This window comes from Homo sapiens, chromosome 13 (assembly GCF_000001405.40).
Source record: "Homo sapiens chromosome 13, GRCh38.p14 Primary Assembly".
NCBI classification, from domain to species: Eukaryota; Metazoa; Chordata; class Mammalia; order Primates; family Hominidae; genus Homo; species Homo sapiens.
In genome coordinates this window covers 23,800,489-23,818,022 of record NC_000013.11, presented here as the reverse complement: position 1 = coordinate 23,818,022, position 17,534 = coordinate 23,800,489, and the positions used below count along the sequence as shown (strand labels likewise).

The 17,534-nt window shown below is 38.2% G+C and overlaps 1 protein-coding gene across 4 annotated transcripts in view, besides 3 other annotated features; it reads left to right on the top strand.

Annotated features, from left to right (window-relative positions):
* Positions 1 to 17,534, top strand: part of MIPEP (mitochondrial intermediate peptidase) — a 159,212-nt gene that overhangs the window by 71,378 nt on the left and 70,300 nt on the right. For all 4 annotated transcript variants that reach the window (NM_005932.4, XM_011535097.3, XM_011535098.4 and 1 more), the window contains exons 15-16: positions 8,099 to 8,173; positions 11,954 to 12,073. In NM_005932.4, the coding sequence (NP_005923.3) occupies positions 8,099 to 8,173; positions 11,954 to 12,073 (195 nt within the window). The remainder of the gene's footprint in view (positions 1 to 8,098; positions 8,174 to 11,953; positions 12,074 to 17,534) is intronic.
* Positions 5,430 to 5,955: an enhancer, noted in NCBI's record as "NANOG-H3K27ac-H3K4me1 hESC enhancer chr13:24386207-24386732 (GRCh37/hg19 assembly coordinates)". NCBI's record gives its function as "activates a minimal SCP1, AML or CMV promoter by ChIP-STARR-seq in naive H9 embryonic stem cells {active_cell/tissue: H9 hESC(naive)}" and the evidence as "EXISTENCE:reporter gene assay evidence [ECO:0000049][PMID:30033119]".
* Positions 9,619 to 9,668: an enhancer, noted in NCBI's record as "active region_7467". NCBI's record gives its function as "activates an Ori minimal core promoter by ATAC-STARR-seq in GM12878 lymphoblastoid cells {active_cell/tissue: GM12878}" and the evidence as "EXISTENCE:reporter gene assay evidence [ECO:0000049][PMID:35858748]".
* Positions 10,952 to 11,101: an enhancer, noted in NCBI's record as "active region_7466". NCBI's record gives its function as "activates an Ori minimal core promoter by ATAC-STARR-seq in GM12878 lymphoblastoid cells {active_cell/tissue: GM12878}" and the evidence as "EXISTENCE:reporter gene assay evidence [ECO:0000049][PMID:35858748]".

The following is a 17,534-nucleotide window of genomic DNA, read 5'->3' as shown; positions in this document are numbered from 1 at the left end:
GAAACATGTTTTAATGTGCCTAACCTCAATTCTGACCTCATTTTATTTTTCTGCTTTCATTTTTCCTTATCTAACTTCCTCATCTATCAATTGTATGCTAATTGTGTATTAAATATATAAATTATATTCACTGAATGTTTTATTGAGTTATTAAGTGTTCATTCAGTAAACACTGAATGTTTACTGATCCTTTTGTGGGGGAACTTGTTGAAGTATCAGTAAAACAAATTTTGGATGGAAGTGCCTTTGCCATCAAGGGGCAGCATACCTGAATCACAGGATCGAATTTTGAGGGGTACACAAACAAATTGAATCAACAAGCCCGACGTTACACACCTGCAGCATGCCTCACAGACTCCACCTTCTTGTGATGCAGGTATCGGAATTTTAATGCTTTTGAGGGCAAAGGATGATGTTTTATTGTTCTTGTTACAGGAAAAATTATTCATGAAAGTTATTAAAGAACAGTAAGGCAGACTTTATCGGGGGGCTACTGCAGTGAGGTTTGGTAGTGGGGGAGAGATTCTGCTCAACTCCATATTCAACAAGGAAAAGTGGAGATTTATAGCCAAGGAATGAGGGAGTGGAGGGAGTTGGAGGATAAAAAATTACTAAGGTGAGGAAAGGGGGATTCTCACTCGACTGACCAAACTGCTTGAGACAGTGCTCAGCTATGCTGTCTGTCATACGTGCCAAAGCTTTACAAGTTTCTTCATGATAGTCTCTGATGGTGTGTAATTCCTGACTTAAAAGCATAGTTCACCCTTTGTAAAGCTTTTCTGCCTTTGTGTTTGGTTTGGTTTGGTTTGATTTTTCTCCTTTGGAGGCTAAGCCCAAATGATATTACTTAATGAAAGTCTGAACTGTTTGGGATTTGCCCATCCACCTAGGATGCAGAAAGCTCGAAAGAGCAGTGCTGGCAACCAACCTTCCTACAGGAAAAGGCAGGTAGAATGCTAACTTTTCTCAAGCTCATAGGGAAGCTGAGGTCTCAGGGCCCTCGAGGTGTCTGAATCCAGAGAGATACAGATGGCTCACCTGTGGCAGATCATGGGTGGAAAGGTTGACTGCCGTACAAAGGGGTAAGAAGAGATCAGTAACACTTTAGCGAATTGTTAGAGTCCCAGTGTGGACTGGAATATCAATCTGGAATATCTGAGGGCCCTGATACTGGAGGAGTTTGCATTCACTTGTAGGCCATTTTCTGTCGGCCTCCTCTGGGTGCTCATGAGAGCAGGGTGGGAAAGCAGACAGGCTTCCTCCGTGTTGTAGGAAGTGATTGGCTGCTGCTGCAGAAATAGCAGAAAACCCTGACTCCCTGCTCCAAGATAAAGCTAATCAATAAAAGCAAACTGAGGAACTTGAAAATAACTAACAACTAGAATAACTTCAAAGTCACTGTCTGTCAGGGACTTAAACAACCATTAAAGGACAAGACGGAAAACATGGATAACATGTATGAACAGATAAGGAGAAGTGGAAACTACAAAAAAAAACTACAGTCAAATGCAAATGTAGGTAATAAAGCCACGATATCACATATGAAGAATTCCTTTGAGAAGCTCATCCATACACTCGATGAAACTAGGGAAGGAATCAGTGAATTTAAAGATAGATTAGGTCAGTAGAAATTATTTAAACTGAAATACAGAGTGGGGAAAGGAGTAGGGGATGGGAAACAAAAACAAAACCAAGCATCCAAGAACTCTGGGACAATACCAGCCAGTGTAACATACATGCAATTCAAGTTCCAGAAAGGAAAAGAGAGCAATAACAAGGCCGGAGAAATATTTGATGGCATAATAACTGAGAATTTGCCAAAAATAATGAAAAGCACACCAGAGATCCAAGAAGCTTCAAGAATCCCAAGCAGGACAAACAATCAGAAAGAATATACCTGGATACATTGTTGTCAAACGGCTGGAAACCAAAGATAAAGAGAAAACCTTAAAGGCAACCAGGGCAGAAAAGACACATTACAAACAGAAGTAATAATTACAGTAGACTTTTCGTTCAAAACTATGCAATTCTGAACTATCTAGACTTATAGCATGAGATACATTTGATCGTCAGAAGAGAGAGATTTTCTGATTAGTGCCAGTATTTTATAAATATGAGCTAGAACCCGCAGATGAAAAACTGACTCATTGTTTGATAACCAGTTCTACTTAAGGTGGAGAAAATATTTTCAAAAAGTGAGTTAATGACCAAGTTTTATGGCAGATATTGAAATATCGAAGATATTAATAGATTACTAGCACATTACTTTATTTCATTGTGGGGTTTTTTTGTAAACCTTAAATTAATTACCAGGTTAGAGAAAGCATCCTCTTCTAAAGCCGGGTAATTTGAGGAGGCGTACATTTTGGGTTCAAGATAATCGGCTATTTTATAAATGAAAAAAATTAAAAATAGGCCTGGCACAGTGGCTCACGCCTGTAATCCCAGCAGTTTGGGAAGCCCAGGCAGGTGGATCTCCTGAGGTCAGGAGTTCGAGACCAGCCCAGCCAACATGGCAAAACCCCATCTCTACTATACAAAAATTAGGCACAGTGGTGCATGCTTGCAATCCCAGCTACTTGGGAAGCTGAGGTGGGAGGTATCACTTGAACCTGGGAGGCAGAAGTTGCAGTGAGCCAAGATTGCACCACTGCACTCCAGCCTGGGCTACACAGCGAGACTCTGACTCAAAAAAAAACAAAAAATCAGGAAACTATGGAAGTACATTCCTTATTTAGAACTTGATTGTTAGGTGCTACAGAGAGAAAATTGTTTAGCTATAATTCCTGTCTTCTAAGAATGTATAGATCTGAAACAGATCACATTTGCAGAGTATGTAAATAACACAGTAAAATGTAAATAAAGTTCGTCAAAGTCAGTGATTATTGTATTATATAGTGCAGCAGTAGTAGTAAAGAATACCAGCTACCATTTATTCAGTATCTGTGTTAAACCTGATGTATTAACATTTTAAAACTCATTATCTTGCTTGATTCTCATCCTATGAAAAGATAATATTAACATTTTGCAGATGAGGAAAATGTGGCTTCACAGTTCAGTAAGTTGCCCAACATCCATGCCACTTAGCTGGTAAGTAGCACAGTTGGGATTCAAACTCAGTTTTATCTGATGCTCCTTACTGTGCTACAGTGAAGCGCAATCATAGGAATTTGAAATGCAGGCAGATTTTGGTGTTAAGGCAGGCCATGCTCTCAGTTCTACTGTAATGGGTTAAGTTCATGGAACGAATGGTATTTCTTGATTAATTGGATATTGTGAAGCAGCCATTTCGATGGTCAGGAGTTAGAATGTTAGAAACAGCCTGAAAGGCCCAAAAGAGCTCTCCAGTCCTGATGTTTCTTGCACAGTTGTTCTTTACCATAATTAGCTAATATAAACGTTCTTGATTTATAGCATTCTTAATATGCTGGTAGGATTCTTTTTAATTTTTAATAAGTATGGGACCAGGCGTGGTGGCTCACACCTGTAATCCCAGCACTTTGGGAGGCTGAGGCAGGCGGATCACAAGGTCAGGAGATCGAGACCATCCTGGTTAATACAGTGAAACCCCGTCTCTACTAAAAATACAAAAAATTAGCCAGGCGTGGTGGCGGGCGCCTGTAGTCCCAGCTACTCTACTCGGGAGGCTGAGGCAGGAGAATGGCATGGACCTGGGAGGCGGAGCTTGCAGTGGGCCGAGATTGTGCCACTGCACTCCAGCCTGGGCAACAGAGCGAGACTCCGTCTCAAAAAAAAAAATTTGTTTTTAATAACTATGGTAGTGTCCATATCCTCAGAAGAATTGAGAAATTATATGTCAGTGTGAGATAGGAGATTTACAGATCAGTGAAAGGGAGTATTTTCTGCCTTGGAAATTATGGAAATTGAAATAGTATCTGGTAAAACGTGCAGCTGATAATACGGTGAAAATTATTTATGATGCCTCAGACTTTGGTAAATTTTCAAATTCAATATAATGAACATAATTATAATATTATTCAAGGCTTAGATGTTTTAAATGCATTTTCATTTATACATAGTTGCTCATTACCTATCATCTTAGATATGTTAATTCTGTTTCTTTAATGTAGCAAATGTGAGAGTCTTGTGTTTAGGAGACAATAATATTAAACATCTGTGCTGCTCTGTAGACTTAATTGCTTTTGGAATTACAGCAAAATTGAATTACAGTCAACCTTCTGTATCTGTGGGTTCCGCATCTGTGGATTCAACCAACAGCAGATTGAAATTATTTGGGGGCTGGACACGGTGGCTCATGCCTGTAGTCTTAGCCCCTCAAGATCTTGGCTGAGGTGGGAGGATCTTTGAGCCCAGGAGTTCGAGGATGCAGTGAATTATGATTGTGCCACTGCACTCCAGCCTGGGCAATACAGTGAAAGCCTATTTATGAGAGAGATAGGTATATTTTATATTTTTTTATAGATATACATAAATACGTATTTATATGTATATATATTTGGGGAAGAAAAATGGATGGTTGTGTCGGTACTGAACATGTACAGACTTTTTTTCTTGTCATTATTTTCTAAAACATACACTATAACAACTATTTACACACGAGGTGATTTCAAATATACAGGAGGATGTGCATAGGTTATATGCAAATACCGTATCATTTCACAGCAGGGACTTGCACATCTACAGATCTTGGTATCCTTAGGAGGTCCCGGAACCAGTTCCCCCATGTATACCAGGGAACACTGTAGTTCAATATTGGTTATCATGGCCGCGATTGGCAAAGCAATATTTACAGAAGAAAATCTTGACCAGGAAACATTTTTAAATTTCAGTTTTAATTTTGAAACGTTGTTTATTTTTAAAAAATAACTTTAGATACAACTTTAAAAGAAAATCAGTTTGTATGGTATTTAAGTTTTTTTTTCAAATTTGTTATGTTTTAAAAAGCAAGTATTTTCTAAGAGAATAAGCATATAACTTCATTTCAATTAATACACTTATTAATTCCAGTTGACTAACAATCAAACTAGTTTTTTTAAAAAGAACATTTACTTTTCTATGTATAGCACACACAATATGTGTATTTTTTATTTGTGATTTGATGAGTTAATGATTCTGTCCTCTGCACTATTCTACTAGGATTGTACTTATTCTCTACTTATGTGTTTCTTTACAAGTGAATGTTTTTTGTATTACAATGTATAGTAGACATTGAATAGATAATTGGGTACTTAACTTTTTATTTTGAAATAGTTATAAATTCACAGAAAGTTGCAAAAACAAAAATGCAGAGAGGTCCTATGTCCCCTTCACCCAGTTTTCTCCAGTGGTAGCATTTTTTGTTTTTTTCTAAATACGTATTTTCTTTTTTTAGAGGCAGTGTCTGGTTTGCTGGTAGGGAAGAAAGCCTAATGGCAGTGAGCGAGGGACGGGGAGAGTGAGGCACGACCAACTGCCCATCCCGTCATGGTCTGGAACTCAAGTTTCCAGAGTTTCTCTGGGGTCCCTTTGGCCAACAGGGGGTCTGTTCAGTCAGTTAGGGGCTCAGAATTTTTTTTTTATTTCTCAGGGTGGAGATGGGACCCAGCGTGGCTCAGCTTCCCGGCTTCTCCAATGGGGACCTCCTTTCCTGTCCTCTGCTGGCTTCCACCTTCTGCCAACAGCCCTGTTCTTTCCTGCCCTTTGCATGTGCTGTTTCTTCTGCCTGAAATGCTTCTTTCCCCTTCCCATCCATCCTTCTCTTGTCTAGTTAACACCTATTCATTTGGCAAATCTCACTCCTACATCCATCAAGCCTTTCAGGGTCACAGCTCACATACCGTCCCCTACGGGCCTTTTCTTCCCTGCACGCGTTACAGTTAGTAACTGTGGAATTGGTGCTTACGTGGAGAATGCTAGCTGAGAAGTTTTGGGGGCAGACACCTGCTGTTGCCCACTGTTTGTGCCCCTTGTGCCTAATGCAGTGCTTGCTTACATGGTCTTCATATGTGTTAGTTAAATGAGAAAATATTGTCACAGCTCAATGGGTTCTTCTTGCCCACTGCCCAGAAAAGCTAATGCACCGAGAACAGCAAATGTTGCAACAAACAGTTTAATCATAGCAGGGCCAGCTAAGTGGAAAACAGAAGGCGTTTCTCAAATCCACCTCCCTGAGAACTTGGAGGCTAGAGTTTTTAAAGATACTTTGTCAGGCAGGGGCCTGGGGAACTGAAACAGTTGATAAGCTGTGGATGAAATCACAGGAGTGTCTAAACTGCACAGCTGAGTCTGTTTCTGGTTGGGAGGTGGGTCTCAGGACCGGGTAGCATCTCTTGGTTTGTTGAAATGCTAAATCTGAAAAATATCTCAAAGACCAGTTCTTTAGGTTCCACAATAATCATGTTATTTACAGGAGTAGCTGGGGAAGTTACAAGTCTTATAGCCTCTGGCTATGTGACTCTGGTAGTGAGCAACTTATAGAAAAGCAAGCTTAGCAGTGGCAGGTGATTGTTTAAGTGTATCTATTGTTTAGCAAAGTCCAGGCCCCTACCATAATTCAAATCCAGCCTCAGGAATGTGGCTTCAGTCCCCAAACAAGCAGGAAGGTCAGGTTTTCTAGCCTCAAAGTTTAACTATAAACCAAATTTTTCTTATAGTTATCTTGGCCTCTGCACTAGAATAAGCTAAAGACAATGTAGCCTGAGAGGTTAGAAGCAGGATGGAGTCAGTCATGTTAGATTTCTCTTCTTATTACTTACAATTCTGCAAAGGTGGTTTCAGTGTCATTCTTCCACATATACTTTTTTTGTAAAAATTATTAAAACTTGGTGAAGCATGAAAAATCTTTTAAATGTAGCATGAATCCTGTCAACAATATAAAATATGATATAAAGTAAGGTTTAAAGAAACGTGAACATTTTGACACAATCTGTTGGCAGATATGACTTAAATAAATCTTGACTGTTAAAAATCCTGTTTGAGGAAGTATTTCTTTCATACAAGATGAGCGCCCCTGGTGTCAGAAAGCCCCAGGCCTGTGACCTGTACCAGAATTCACACTATGTAGCTTTCTCCCATCTGTGTCTTAGCTCTTTAAAAATATTGTCTTTTCTGCCTAGTTTACTTCTCTTGCTGCCAAATGGAAAGAGAAAAGGCTGTAGGTTTGTCATCTGAGCAGTCAGCAGATTCTATGTCTTTCACTTAAGAAGCCGTTTCCTAGCAGTTCTTCTATTAGTTCATTCCTTCACAAATCTTTCCTGAGTGTCTGCCGAGTAGACTCCTACAAAGCAGTGGCTAGTTTCCGCTTCCAGCAGACAGCCCACGTTCTCATTCACAGGTGGTTAATTTATACGACCATACCACTGAGTAACTTGCCATTGGTCTTTATATAATGTGTTTCTCTTTAGAGGGGCTTTTAGCTTAATTAGGTTGTAAATCGGTATCTTTCTTTAATAAACATCAGTATTAATGATTTTAAAGTAGAGTAAGATTGAGGAAAGTTCTTGTTCAACTACATTATTAATTTATTTCTAAGAGGATCTGTATGTTATAGGGTTAGGCCTAATTCATCTCAAAAAGAAAGCCTTAAATCACATAGGGACATTAAACTAAGTGTCCAAGCTCTACAGTTCTTTCAGATTCGAAAAGAAAATAATCTGCAATACATTATTATGACTATTTGTTAGGATGTCAGTTTAGCTTTAACACTGGCGGACACTGTGAATTACCATTTATTTCTTGACATTTTCATCTTTTAGTCCTATTGTCAGTGATTATATGCACTTAAAAGTCAAGAGAGTATTTGAACAGGCACTCACTAATAGCAAAGGAACAGAAAAAGTATTCCCTTTGAGGTTTTAAATAGATTTTTAAAGATCGGCGCCAGTGTCTTAGTTCCACGTAATCCTGTATTTTCATGTACAAACCCTTATTTGACAATTACCACTTTTTGAAATTAAACAGAATGTCTTTATTCATGTTGTCTTGCCAACTAAAATATTTAAAGTTATTATTTTTAAACTATAATGAAATTCTATTACTCATGTTACATTTGATGTTATTTTTAAATTTCCTGGCTTATACATAGTGCAGTGACTTATTACGCAGTTTACTCACATATATATTCTTTTGTTTTATCAAGCCACTGCCAAAAAATATGGTGTCTCGTCTTTGTGAATCTAAAAAGGTTTGTGCTGCAGCTGATATGCAACTTCAGGTATGTATGTACCTTTGTTCTGAAGTTTTCCGGAGTCATTATCCCAAATAAATATATAACTTTACATTCTTGCCAATGATACCTATTTATTATAATAATTATGCTTCTAAAACATCTTTCATCTGAGTTCAAAGAACTTGACCAAAATTGACTCATTTAGTCCTCACACTGCCCTTATGAAGTAGGCGTTGAATAAAATTATTTCCTGGCCAGGCACAGTGGCTCACACCTGTAATCCCAGCACTTTGGGAGGCCGAGGTGGGCGAATCACGAGGTCAGGAGTTTGAGACCAGCTTAACCAACACGGTGAAACCCCATCTCTACTAAAAATACAAAAATTAGCCAGGCATGGTGGTGCATGCTTATAATCCCAGCTACTCAGGAGGCTGAGGCAGGAGAATCGCTTGAACCTGGGAGGTGGAGGTTGAAGTGAGCCGAGATCTTGCCACTGACTCCAGCCTGGGCAACAGAGTGAGACTCTGTCTCAAAAAAAAAAAAAGACTATTTCCCGTTTTCAGTTGGGAAAAAATGAAAGCTTAGAAAATTTACACAACTTCTAAATCACACATTTTGCCAGCTAAATTAAGGCTCAAACTTAATTTTATATATACATATGTTTATTCATTTTGTATCTTTTTAAAATTTTTGTGTTTTTAGGTTTGAAGTTTAGATAGTAATTGCTGTTAGTTTTAGATAATATTCAAAACCAACTTCCCAGGTTTTGAGATGAAGACCAGAAAACTTTCATGAACCATCTGGATGCCAGGTCTGCATGACATCAGATGCGTAGATGTTTGTAATGACTGAGATTGTTATGGAATTCTCACTCCTCTTCAGATCTTGAGAGTTATGTAAACACCTTAAACACCCATCTTTCATCTTAGGCAGTATTCACTTTATGATGATTCAGTTACCTGTTTAACAAAGTAATCACTATTTAATTGCTTTATAGTTTTGTAAAATTCAGTCCCTAGAAGGTAATAAATGTGCTCTGTTTTTCTGTACCTTCAAACATGAAATACATGTTTCAGTGAAGGAAATCTATTATATAGACAAAACCGTGAATCTATATTTGCTTTACCTTACTCAGTATCTATTCATATCAATATAATTTTTAAAGGATTTCTGAGTTATTTTTAAAAATTAACATTACTTGGCAAAAGTCTTGATTTGCTGATATCTTTAGTAGAAGGCCTGGCTTTTAAAAGTCTGTTTTGTGGCTTTCTTCTTGAAAAAGTGTTCTGATAATTTTCTTTTAAAATGGAAAACCAACCTTTCCCTCCTCCGCCCTCCAAAAACAATAGCCCCCTAGAGACAGAGAGAGGCAAAGTCCTGGTAGAGGAGCTGCCTGGGTTCAGCTTTTATATTACACTTGGACAGTGGAGATGAACACGGGTGGAAAGGAAGTGAATTGTTTCAACTTTCTATGGGGACATAAACAGTGTTTTTAAGGCCAGATGCGGTGGCTCACACTTATAATCCCAGCACGTTGGGAGGCCGAGGCGGGCGGATCACGAGATCAGGAGATCGAGACCATCCTGGCTAACACAGTGAAACCCCAACTCTACTAAAAATACAAAAAAATTAGCCAGGCGTGGTGGCAGGCGCCTATAGTCCCAGCTACTCGGGAGGCTGAGGCAGGAGAATGGCGTGAACCCGGGAGGCGGAGCTTGCAGTGAGCCGAGATCGCGCCACTGCACTCCAGCCTGGGCGACAGGGCGAGACTCTGTCTCAAAAAAAAAACAAAAAAAAAACACTGTTTTTAAAACTGTACATTTTTTAAAATTATTGTTTTAAAAATAGGCTCTTCATTTTTCTGTGACTTAATAAGTTTCTTGGCCCCAGGAATGCATGACTCCCTGGGTAGGCAGATAGGCTCATGTCTTTGGAATTGTTTAGTTTATCAGCAAATAAGCATAAAAAGAATGCACATTTAATTTATTTTGCTCTGTTTTCATATTTAATTTATTTTGCTCTGTTTTTATAATTCAAAAAAGTTACCCCATGTTTATATCATTTTGTAAAAGGCATAATTGAAGAAATGAAACTCTTGAATTCTGATTTATTTATACATTGGGGCAAAATAACACCTCAGTTGAGGTTAGAATGTAAGAGTTTCAGTTCCTGATAATTTACTCTGTTAGAATATAGGTAAGACATTGAGTAATTTTGGCCTCCCTGATTATCTTTATGCATCGTTACTCATTATAAAATGTAGAATTGAAAGAGCTATATTTAGCTATATGTTTAGATTACCAGTTAGAAGAAAGCAATATTTATATTTAGGAAATGTCTGTATTTTTCTAGGGAAGGTTTAAACTTAACTTTATAATTTAGAACCATAATTCTATATCTAGATGCAGCCAGAAGCCAGAGGTCATTTAAATTTTCTCTTTTAACCAAACTAATCCTCACTTCTTTCAAGTCAACAGCTGCACATTCTCTACAAATCCCATTTCTGAATCACAAAGATACATATCAGAAGCATAATTGCGTGTCAAAATTTGTCCTTTAAAATAAAGCATTTTCTACTTGCCTGCATGAAGTCAAATGTTCAAGTCAGTGTTGAAAAACAATATTTGAGTCAGATGTTGCAGTGAAAAAATGCTTTATGTTTATTTTAGATTTCTTTGCAAAATTTAGTTTTCAGTACTTTGTAAACAGCAGATTTCATGTCCAAACTTTCTTTAATGCTTTCTTCTCCCACTGTGTTTCAGTGGCCTATATCCTCTACTCAGAGGAGAGTGCTCCTTTTCCCCTGGTCATCTAGTTGAGCCCTCCCTATACAGCAGCTGCTTCCTTTGTACTTCCTGACACCAGGTGTGGGAGTCTAGTTCCAACCTCTCCAACAGCTGCATCAGAATTCTTCGATACATCTATACTCACGAGATGCTGCATTGCTATTTCTTTCTCTACCCCCACCACACCTATTTAATTTTCTTTCACCTTTTATCACAAAACTAGAATTCTGACCGTTTCATTTCTCTCATTTAAGATATATCAGGATTCCAGGAGGAAACCAAACAACATTTGTTAGATCCAGCGGGTCTAAAGTTGTAACTGGTTTTGTATATTTCTGCCTACAGATAGATAGATAGATAGATAGATAGATAGATAGATAGATAGATAGATATAGATTTTTTTGTTGTTGTTGTTGTTTTTTGTTTGGTTTTTTTTTTTGAGACGGAGTCTCTCCCAGGCTGGAGTGCAGTGGAGCAATCTCGGCTCACTGCGAGCTCCGCCTCCCAGGTTCACGCCATTCTCCTGCCTCAGCCTCCCGAGTAGCTGGGACTAGAGGTGCCTGCCACCACGCCTGTCTAATTTTTTTGTATTTTTAGTAGAAACGGGATTTCACTATGTTAGCCAGGATGGTCTTGATCTCCTGACCTCGTGATCCTCCCGCCTCGGCCTCCCAAAGTGCTGGGATTACAGGCGTGAGCCACCGCGCCTGGCCTTCCGTCTACATATATTTTGGCAAAATTCCAGTTTTGTGTCACATATTTGATTTGCTGCCATTGTACATAAAGAGTATCTTATGGGTATGGTTCAAAATTCTTTAATATTCTTATTTATGAAAAGGTTGAGAGCATTCCTTTTAATCTTTAGCATGGTCTTAAATGTGGTATGAAATACATTTCAAACCATGTAAGTTTATTTTTGTGACTGTTTTCAACTGTGATTGGTAACTGTTGTTCTGGTGCACTTATAGCATCTTTGGTCAACCACATCTTGATGTGAGGATGGACGACCAAAACTAAGTAGATGTTTTTATCTATCTAGGTCTTTTATGCCACTCTGGATCAAATCTACCATGGGAAGCATCCCCTGAGGAATTCAACCACAGACATTCTCAAGGAAACACAAGAGAAATTCTATGGCCTACCATATGTTCCAAATACTGTGAGTCCAGCATTTGGCTTCTGTTTTGTGTATTGAGTGGTTCTGCTATTACTTCTGTAGCTTGTGATTATCTTCCCCTTTGGAGAACTTGAAATCCCTACATTTATGTTGAGGCTTCACATGGCTCAAATGCTGGAAATTGCCTGGTTCATTTAATATTTCCAACTACCCATTTATATGTTCTTATTTTCCTCCCTCTAACAGTGTTTTTGTACCTTTTTGGAAATGTGGGGGTTAAAAAGGCCATTGGAGTTGGTCTATATTCTTCTTTTTAGTTATTTTTCTACAATGTGAAAAATAGTGATGTAAGATGAATGTGATTACCAGTCCTGAATCATTTTCATTGCAAAGAGAATTAACATGTATTGAGTATCTTACATTGTACCAGGAATTATAATAGATGCTTTACATATCTTATCTTGTTGAGTACCATGTCAGGAGAGAGAGCAGGAGTAATGTTACCATTTATTGGATTCTAGGCGCCAGACTCTATCTAATTCCTTTGGGAAAAGATCTCTAATTTAGCTCTCAAAATAACCTTATAAATTAAATTATATCCTTGTATTTGGGGCTCATTTGGAGGCACAGACACATTATATGTCCTGTCTGAGATCATCTAGGTAGTTAAGTGATTGTATGGGGGTTCAAAACAAACAGGCTTTTTTCATCACTCAAAGGCTCGTGTAAGGAGCAGTTGAGCACCGTGACTCCTAGTGCAATTAACAGTGTGATTCTTGGTGCAGTTAGCAATGTGACTGACTTAATGTTACCCAGGCCTTTCTCAGCTGCAAGTGATAGAAACGTGGTTCACACGGACTTAAACAGAAAAGGGAATTTATTGAGTCTTGTAACTGAAAGGTGCAGGGGTATAGGGGTGTTTCAAGTAAGTTGGATTTAGGTCTCCCACAATGTCGTTAGAAATGTTTCTCTCTCTTTCTGCCTCTCAGCTCGGTGTTTTTCTGGGTTCCTTTCATTCTCTGGCAATCCCCCCAGACTGAATGGTTTGATAACTACCGGTAGGTTCAGGTCGATGTCCTTCTAGCCTAGTTGGTCTAACAGAAGGAGAGCTAACTTGAAAGTGTTTTGTAAACTATAAAAAGCAGAATAAATGTCAAGTGGTTTTATTTGCTCTAAGATTGGATAGCAGAATATGTTGTGCTAAGAGATTAAGTTAATCAATAAACTACAATTGTCCACTAAATCTTCAGGTCCTAATGCTCAAATATGCATGGGAAGAGATCGTATTTACCAGACAAGTGAAGCAACAGGATATTTTATCTTCATAATACCTCTTGTCATTAGTTTTCGATTGGCTTAGAACCTTAATTATCTGCTACAGGTATATAATGTCAGTCATACTAACTAATTTTTTAATCTTACATGTAATTTACTATTCTAATACTTTCTACTGCCAAGCTCTTGATTATCTGTGTTAGTGAAAATTTATAGTGATAAGAATAATCTAACTATTTATTCATGGAATAAATAATAACAATTGCCTAGATTTTACTAGCATTTTCCAGTTCACAGAGCATTGCCTGATTCACCTGCTTTTGGGCTTGTATGTTTTTGTTCTCATCTTATATTCTTCTTTGTGAATATGAGTTAAACTTCATGACCAGTAAGTAGTAAAGTCCTAGGAAGACTAACATTAGGAGAACTGGGATGCTTGCCAAAGCTACAAAACTTCAGTTTGACTGAGTTGCTTGCCTTCTGCCCTTTTTTATCGTAGGTCTAATAATAAAGTAATTATGTCTCTTTTTAAAAGAAAACTTCCTTACCATCCAGATTTCTTCTCTGTAATCATTTAACATACAAATATGAAGTATTAGTGGCAACCAAATTCTGAATCAACAATCCATAAATCACTTTTAATTTGAAAGGAAGGGTGATGCTAAGTCCGTGTGCCTTGTCCTAATTCCTTTTGAGAAAATAGAAAGATGTATCTCTTTACTGGGATTAGCTCCACAATTCACGTTCAGTAGCCATCACTTGCTCTTTGTGTAAATTGTTTTAAGAGGTCTTTAAAAGAAGCATAGCTATGTTTAGAGAAAAAAAGACATTATTTTAAGGCTTGCCTTTAAAAAAAAGTGTCTGAGAGTTTGTTTAGATTTGTACAGATAGCCTACTCTTCCTACTTAGAAACTTCTGCATTTCTTCATTTGTTTGTCAATGCATTCATCAAGCCTATAACATTCCCGACATCAAGTTGGTGGACTTGACCACCAACTTGAATTCAAATAAAGCTGTAGGAATTAAGACAGTCTAACACTGGTGTAGGGATGCACAGATATCAGTGAAACAGGAGCAAGAGCCCAACGGCAGACTCAGCAAATTAATAGACTCTCAAATATAGGTTGAGTGACACTGTAGATTATTGGATGAAGAAGGAACAATTTTTTAAAGTGGTGTTGTAGTGATTGATCTCTATATGGAAAAAAAAATGCAGCCCTGTATCACACTGCACACAAAAAATAGAGTTAAAGACCGAGATGTGAAAAGTAAAGCTTTAAATTTTAGAAGATAATACAAAAGAATTTTTTCTTTTTGATAGTGTTTTTGTTGTTGTTGTTGTTGTTGTTGTTTTGAGATGGAGTCTTGCTTTGACTCCTAGTCTGGAGTGCAGTGGCGCAGTATTGGCTCACTGCAACCTCTGCCTCCTGGGTTCAAGCAATTCTCCTTCCTCAGCCTCCTGAGTAGCTGGGATTACAGGTGTGCGCCACCACTCCTGGCTAACTTTTGTTTTTTTAGTAGAGACGGGGTTTCACCATGTTGGCCAGGCTGGTCTCGAACTCCCAACCTCAGATAATCCACCTGTCTTGGCCTCCCAAGGCTGAGGATTACAGGCATGAGCCACCGCGCCTGGCCATGATAGTGTTTTTTATACCCACTCTGAGTATCTTATATTTTATACAGATGCTTCTCAACTTATGATGCGGTCAAGTCCCAATAACCCATTGTAAGTTGAAACTATCATAAGTCAAAAATACATTTAATACCCCTACACTGCTGAATGTCATAGCTTAGCCTAGCCTACCTTAAATGTGCTCAGAATGCTTATGTTAGCCTACAGTTGGGCAAACTCATCTAACACAAAGTCTATTTCATAATAAAGTGTTGAATATCTCATGTAATTTATTGAATACTGCACTGAAAGTGAAAAACAAAATGGTTGTCAGGCACCCAAAGTACAGTTTCTATTGAATGCATATTGCTTTCACACCACTGTGGAGTTGAAAAATCTTAAAGTTAAAAAATCTTTAAGTTGGGGATCTTCTAGATACAATGGAAAGCCATTAAACATAAAGCAAAAGACTGACAAATTCAATGATATTTAAAGTTAAATACCACATAGCATAAAACTGACTTCCCCCCCTGCCTTCAGATGGAGTCTCACTCTATTGCTCAGGCTGGAGTGCAGTGGTGCAGTCTCGGCTCACTGCAACCTTTGCCTCCTGGGTTCAAGCGATTCTCTCACCTCAGCCTCCTGAGTAGCTGGGATTACAGGCACCTGCCACCATACCTGCCTAATTTTTTAGTGGAGACAGGGTTTCACCATGTTGGCCAGGCTGGTCTTGAACTCCTGACCTCAAATGATCTGCCTGCTTCCACCTCCCAAAGTGCTAGGATTACAGGTGTGAGCCACCATGCCCGGCCATTGGAAAAGGTTATATTTTTAAATTACTTTGAATAAACAAAAGACATGGATATGCAAAAAATGACGTAAAATAACTTAAATATTAATCAGGGAATGCACATTAAAACCACATTACAATACTCCTAAAATATTTTACTATCACTGGTTTGGCAAAAAATAAAACAATTGACAGTATCAGATGTTGGCAAGGATGTGGAGTCACAGGAACTCTTATACACTGCAGGTAGGAGAGCAAATTGGTATAACCACTTTGCAGAACAGATCTGTGAAATCTGAATATGGACTGCCCTATGACCCAGCAATTCAATTCCTAATATAACCTAGAAAAAAAAATGTTTTACTTTCTCTACCAGGTATACTTTTCTGTACCAGGCATGAAAAAATAGGAGGGTTTATAACAGCACTTGTTGTAAGTAGTTAAAAAAAAGGTGAGGGGGAGGATTCCGGGAAGAACCCAAGTGATTGTCATCAGAGAAATGGATAAACAATTTGTTCATACAGCTGGAATACTGTTCAGCTATGGAAATTGAGGGCCCCAGTTGATGAGCCTAACAAGCATAAGGTAAAGTGAAATAAATGAATACCAGATGAATCAAACTAGTACATTTATATAAAGTTCAGAGTGATGCAAAACTAAGCAGTACATTGTCAGATAAATACATATGTGATTAGACTATAAAGAAAAGTGAGGGAATTATAAGCACAGAATTCATAGGAGTGGATTCACAGGAGTCTTAGAAATATTTTCTTAAACTGATTGGTGGGTACATGGTTGATGACTTTGTCATTCTTTCTACTAATAGTAGACATATAGTCTTGGTAGATAGAAAACACTTCCAAGGATTAAAAGGTGATCTGGGCTACAAGGTATGGGGTATGCCAAGAATGGACCTTGGCAAAGCTGCTGGTGGCTCAAACTAGGACACTGACTGTGGGGAGTGGAAGATTGAAACAGACCTGAGAACAGTGCAGAAGGCATAATCAGTGCAGTGGGGGTGACTGGATATATGGGTTGGGATGATGAGCAAGATCCACGGGAATGGGACAACTGCAAGGCTTTCAACTTCCATATCGGATAGAAGATGACTTTGTAGCGCCTTCCCATGCGGGCCAAAGAGTGACAGTGTTCCCCCTGTAAACTTGTCTCCAGAAATTGTTTCTCTGAAATGAATCCTTTTATTCCCCCAAATTAAACAATGAGAAAAGGAAAATATAAGCAACGAAGAGTCTTTATAATGCTTATGGAGTTGATACAAATTTAGGTACATAATCTGGTACAAACTTTTAGACAGTGATTTTGCATATGTCTATATTAGCAATTCTTTAAGTGCATTAATAACTCATCTTGGGAATAAAGTGTCGCACTAGTTATCTTTGAGCAATACTGGTTTAAACAACATTGAGCTGGCTTCTCTACTGAGGAACCGCTTGGAGTCTGTAATATGCTAACAAACATTATGAGTCTCTATCCTCAAATGTATTAACCCTGGAAGTCTTCATGGATAATTTCTAGGCACTAGCTTTATGTAGGTCATACTTTGGAAAATTGCATTTACATGACTGTAACTATTTAATAGGGGCAGCTCCACAGATATTCCATATTAAATAATGATGCTTTCTTTACAAGTCAATAAATAGCCTTCTAGTGTCGGCAATTTATTGATATTTGTGTGCATGCTGAGTCACTCTGTATAAAATATAGGCTAATTTGTACTTACTTGCTATTCCATCTAACAGTAGTTTGATGCTGGAAATCCAAAATTTTCTACTCATTTGTGAATAGAGGGCAATAGTACAACATAT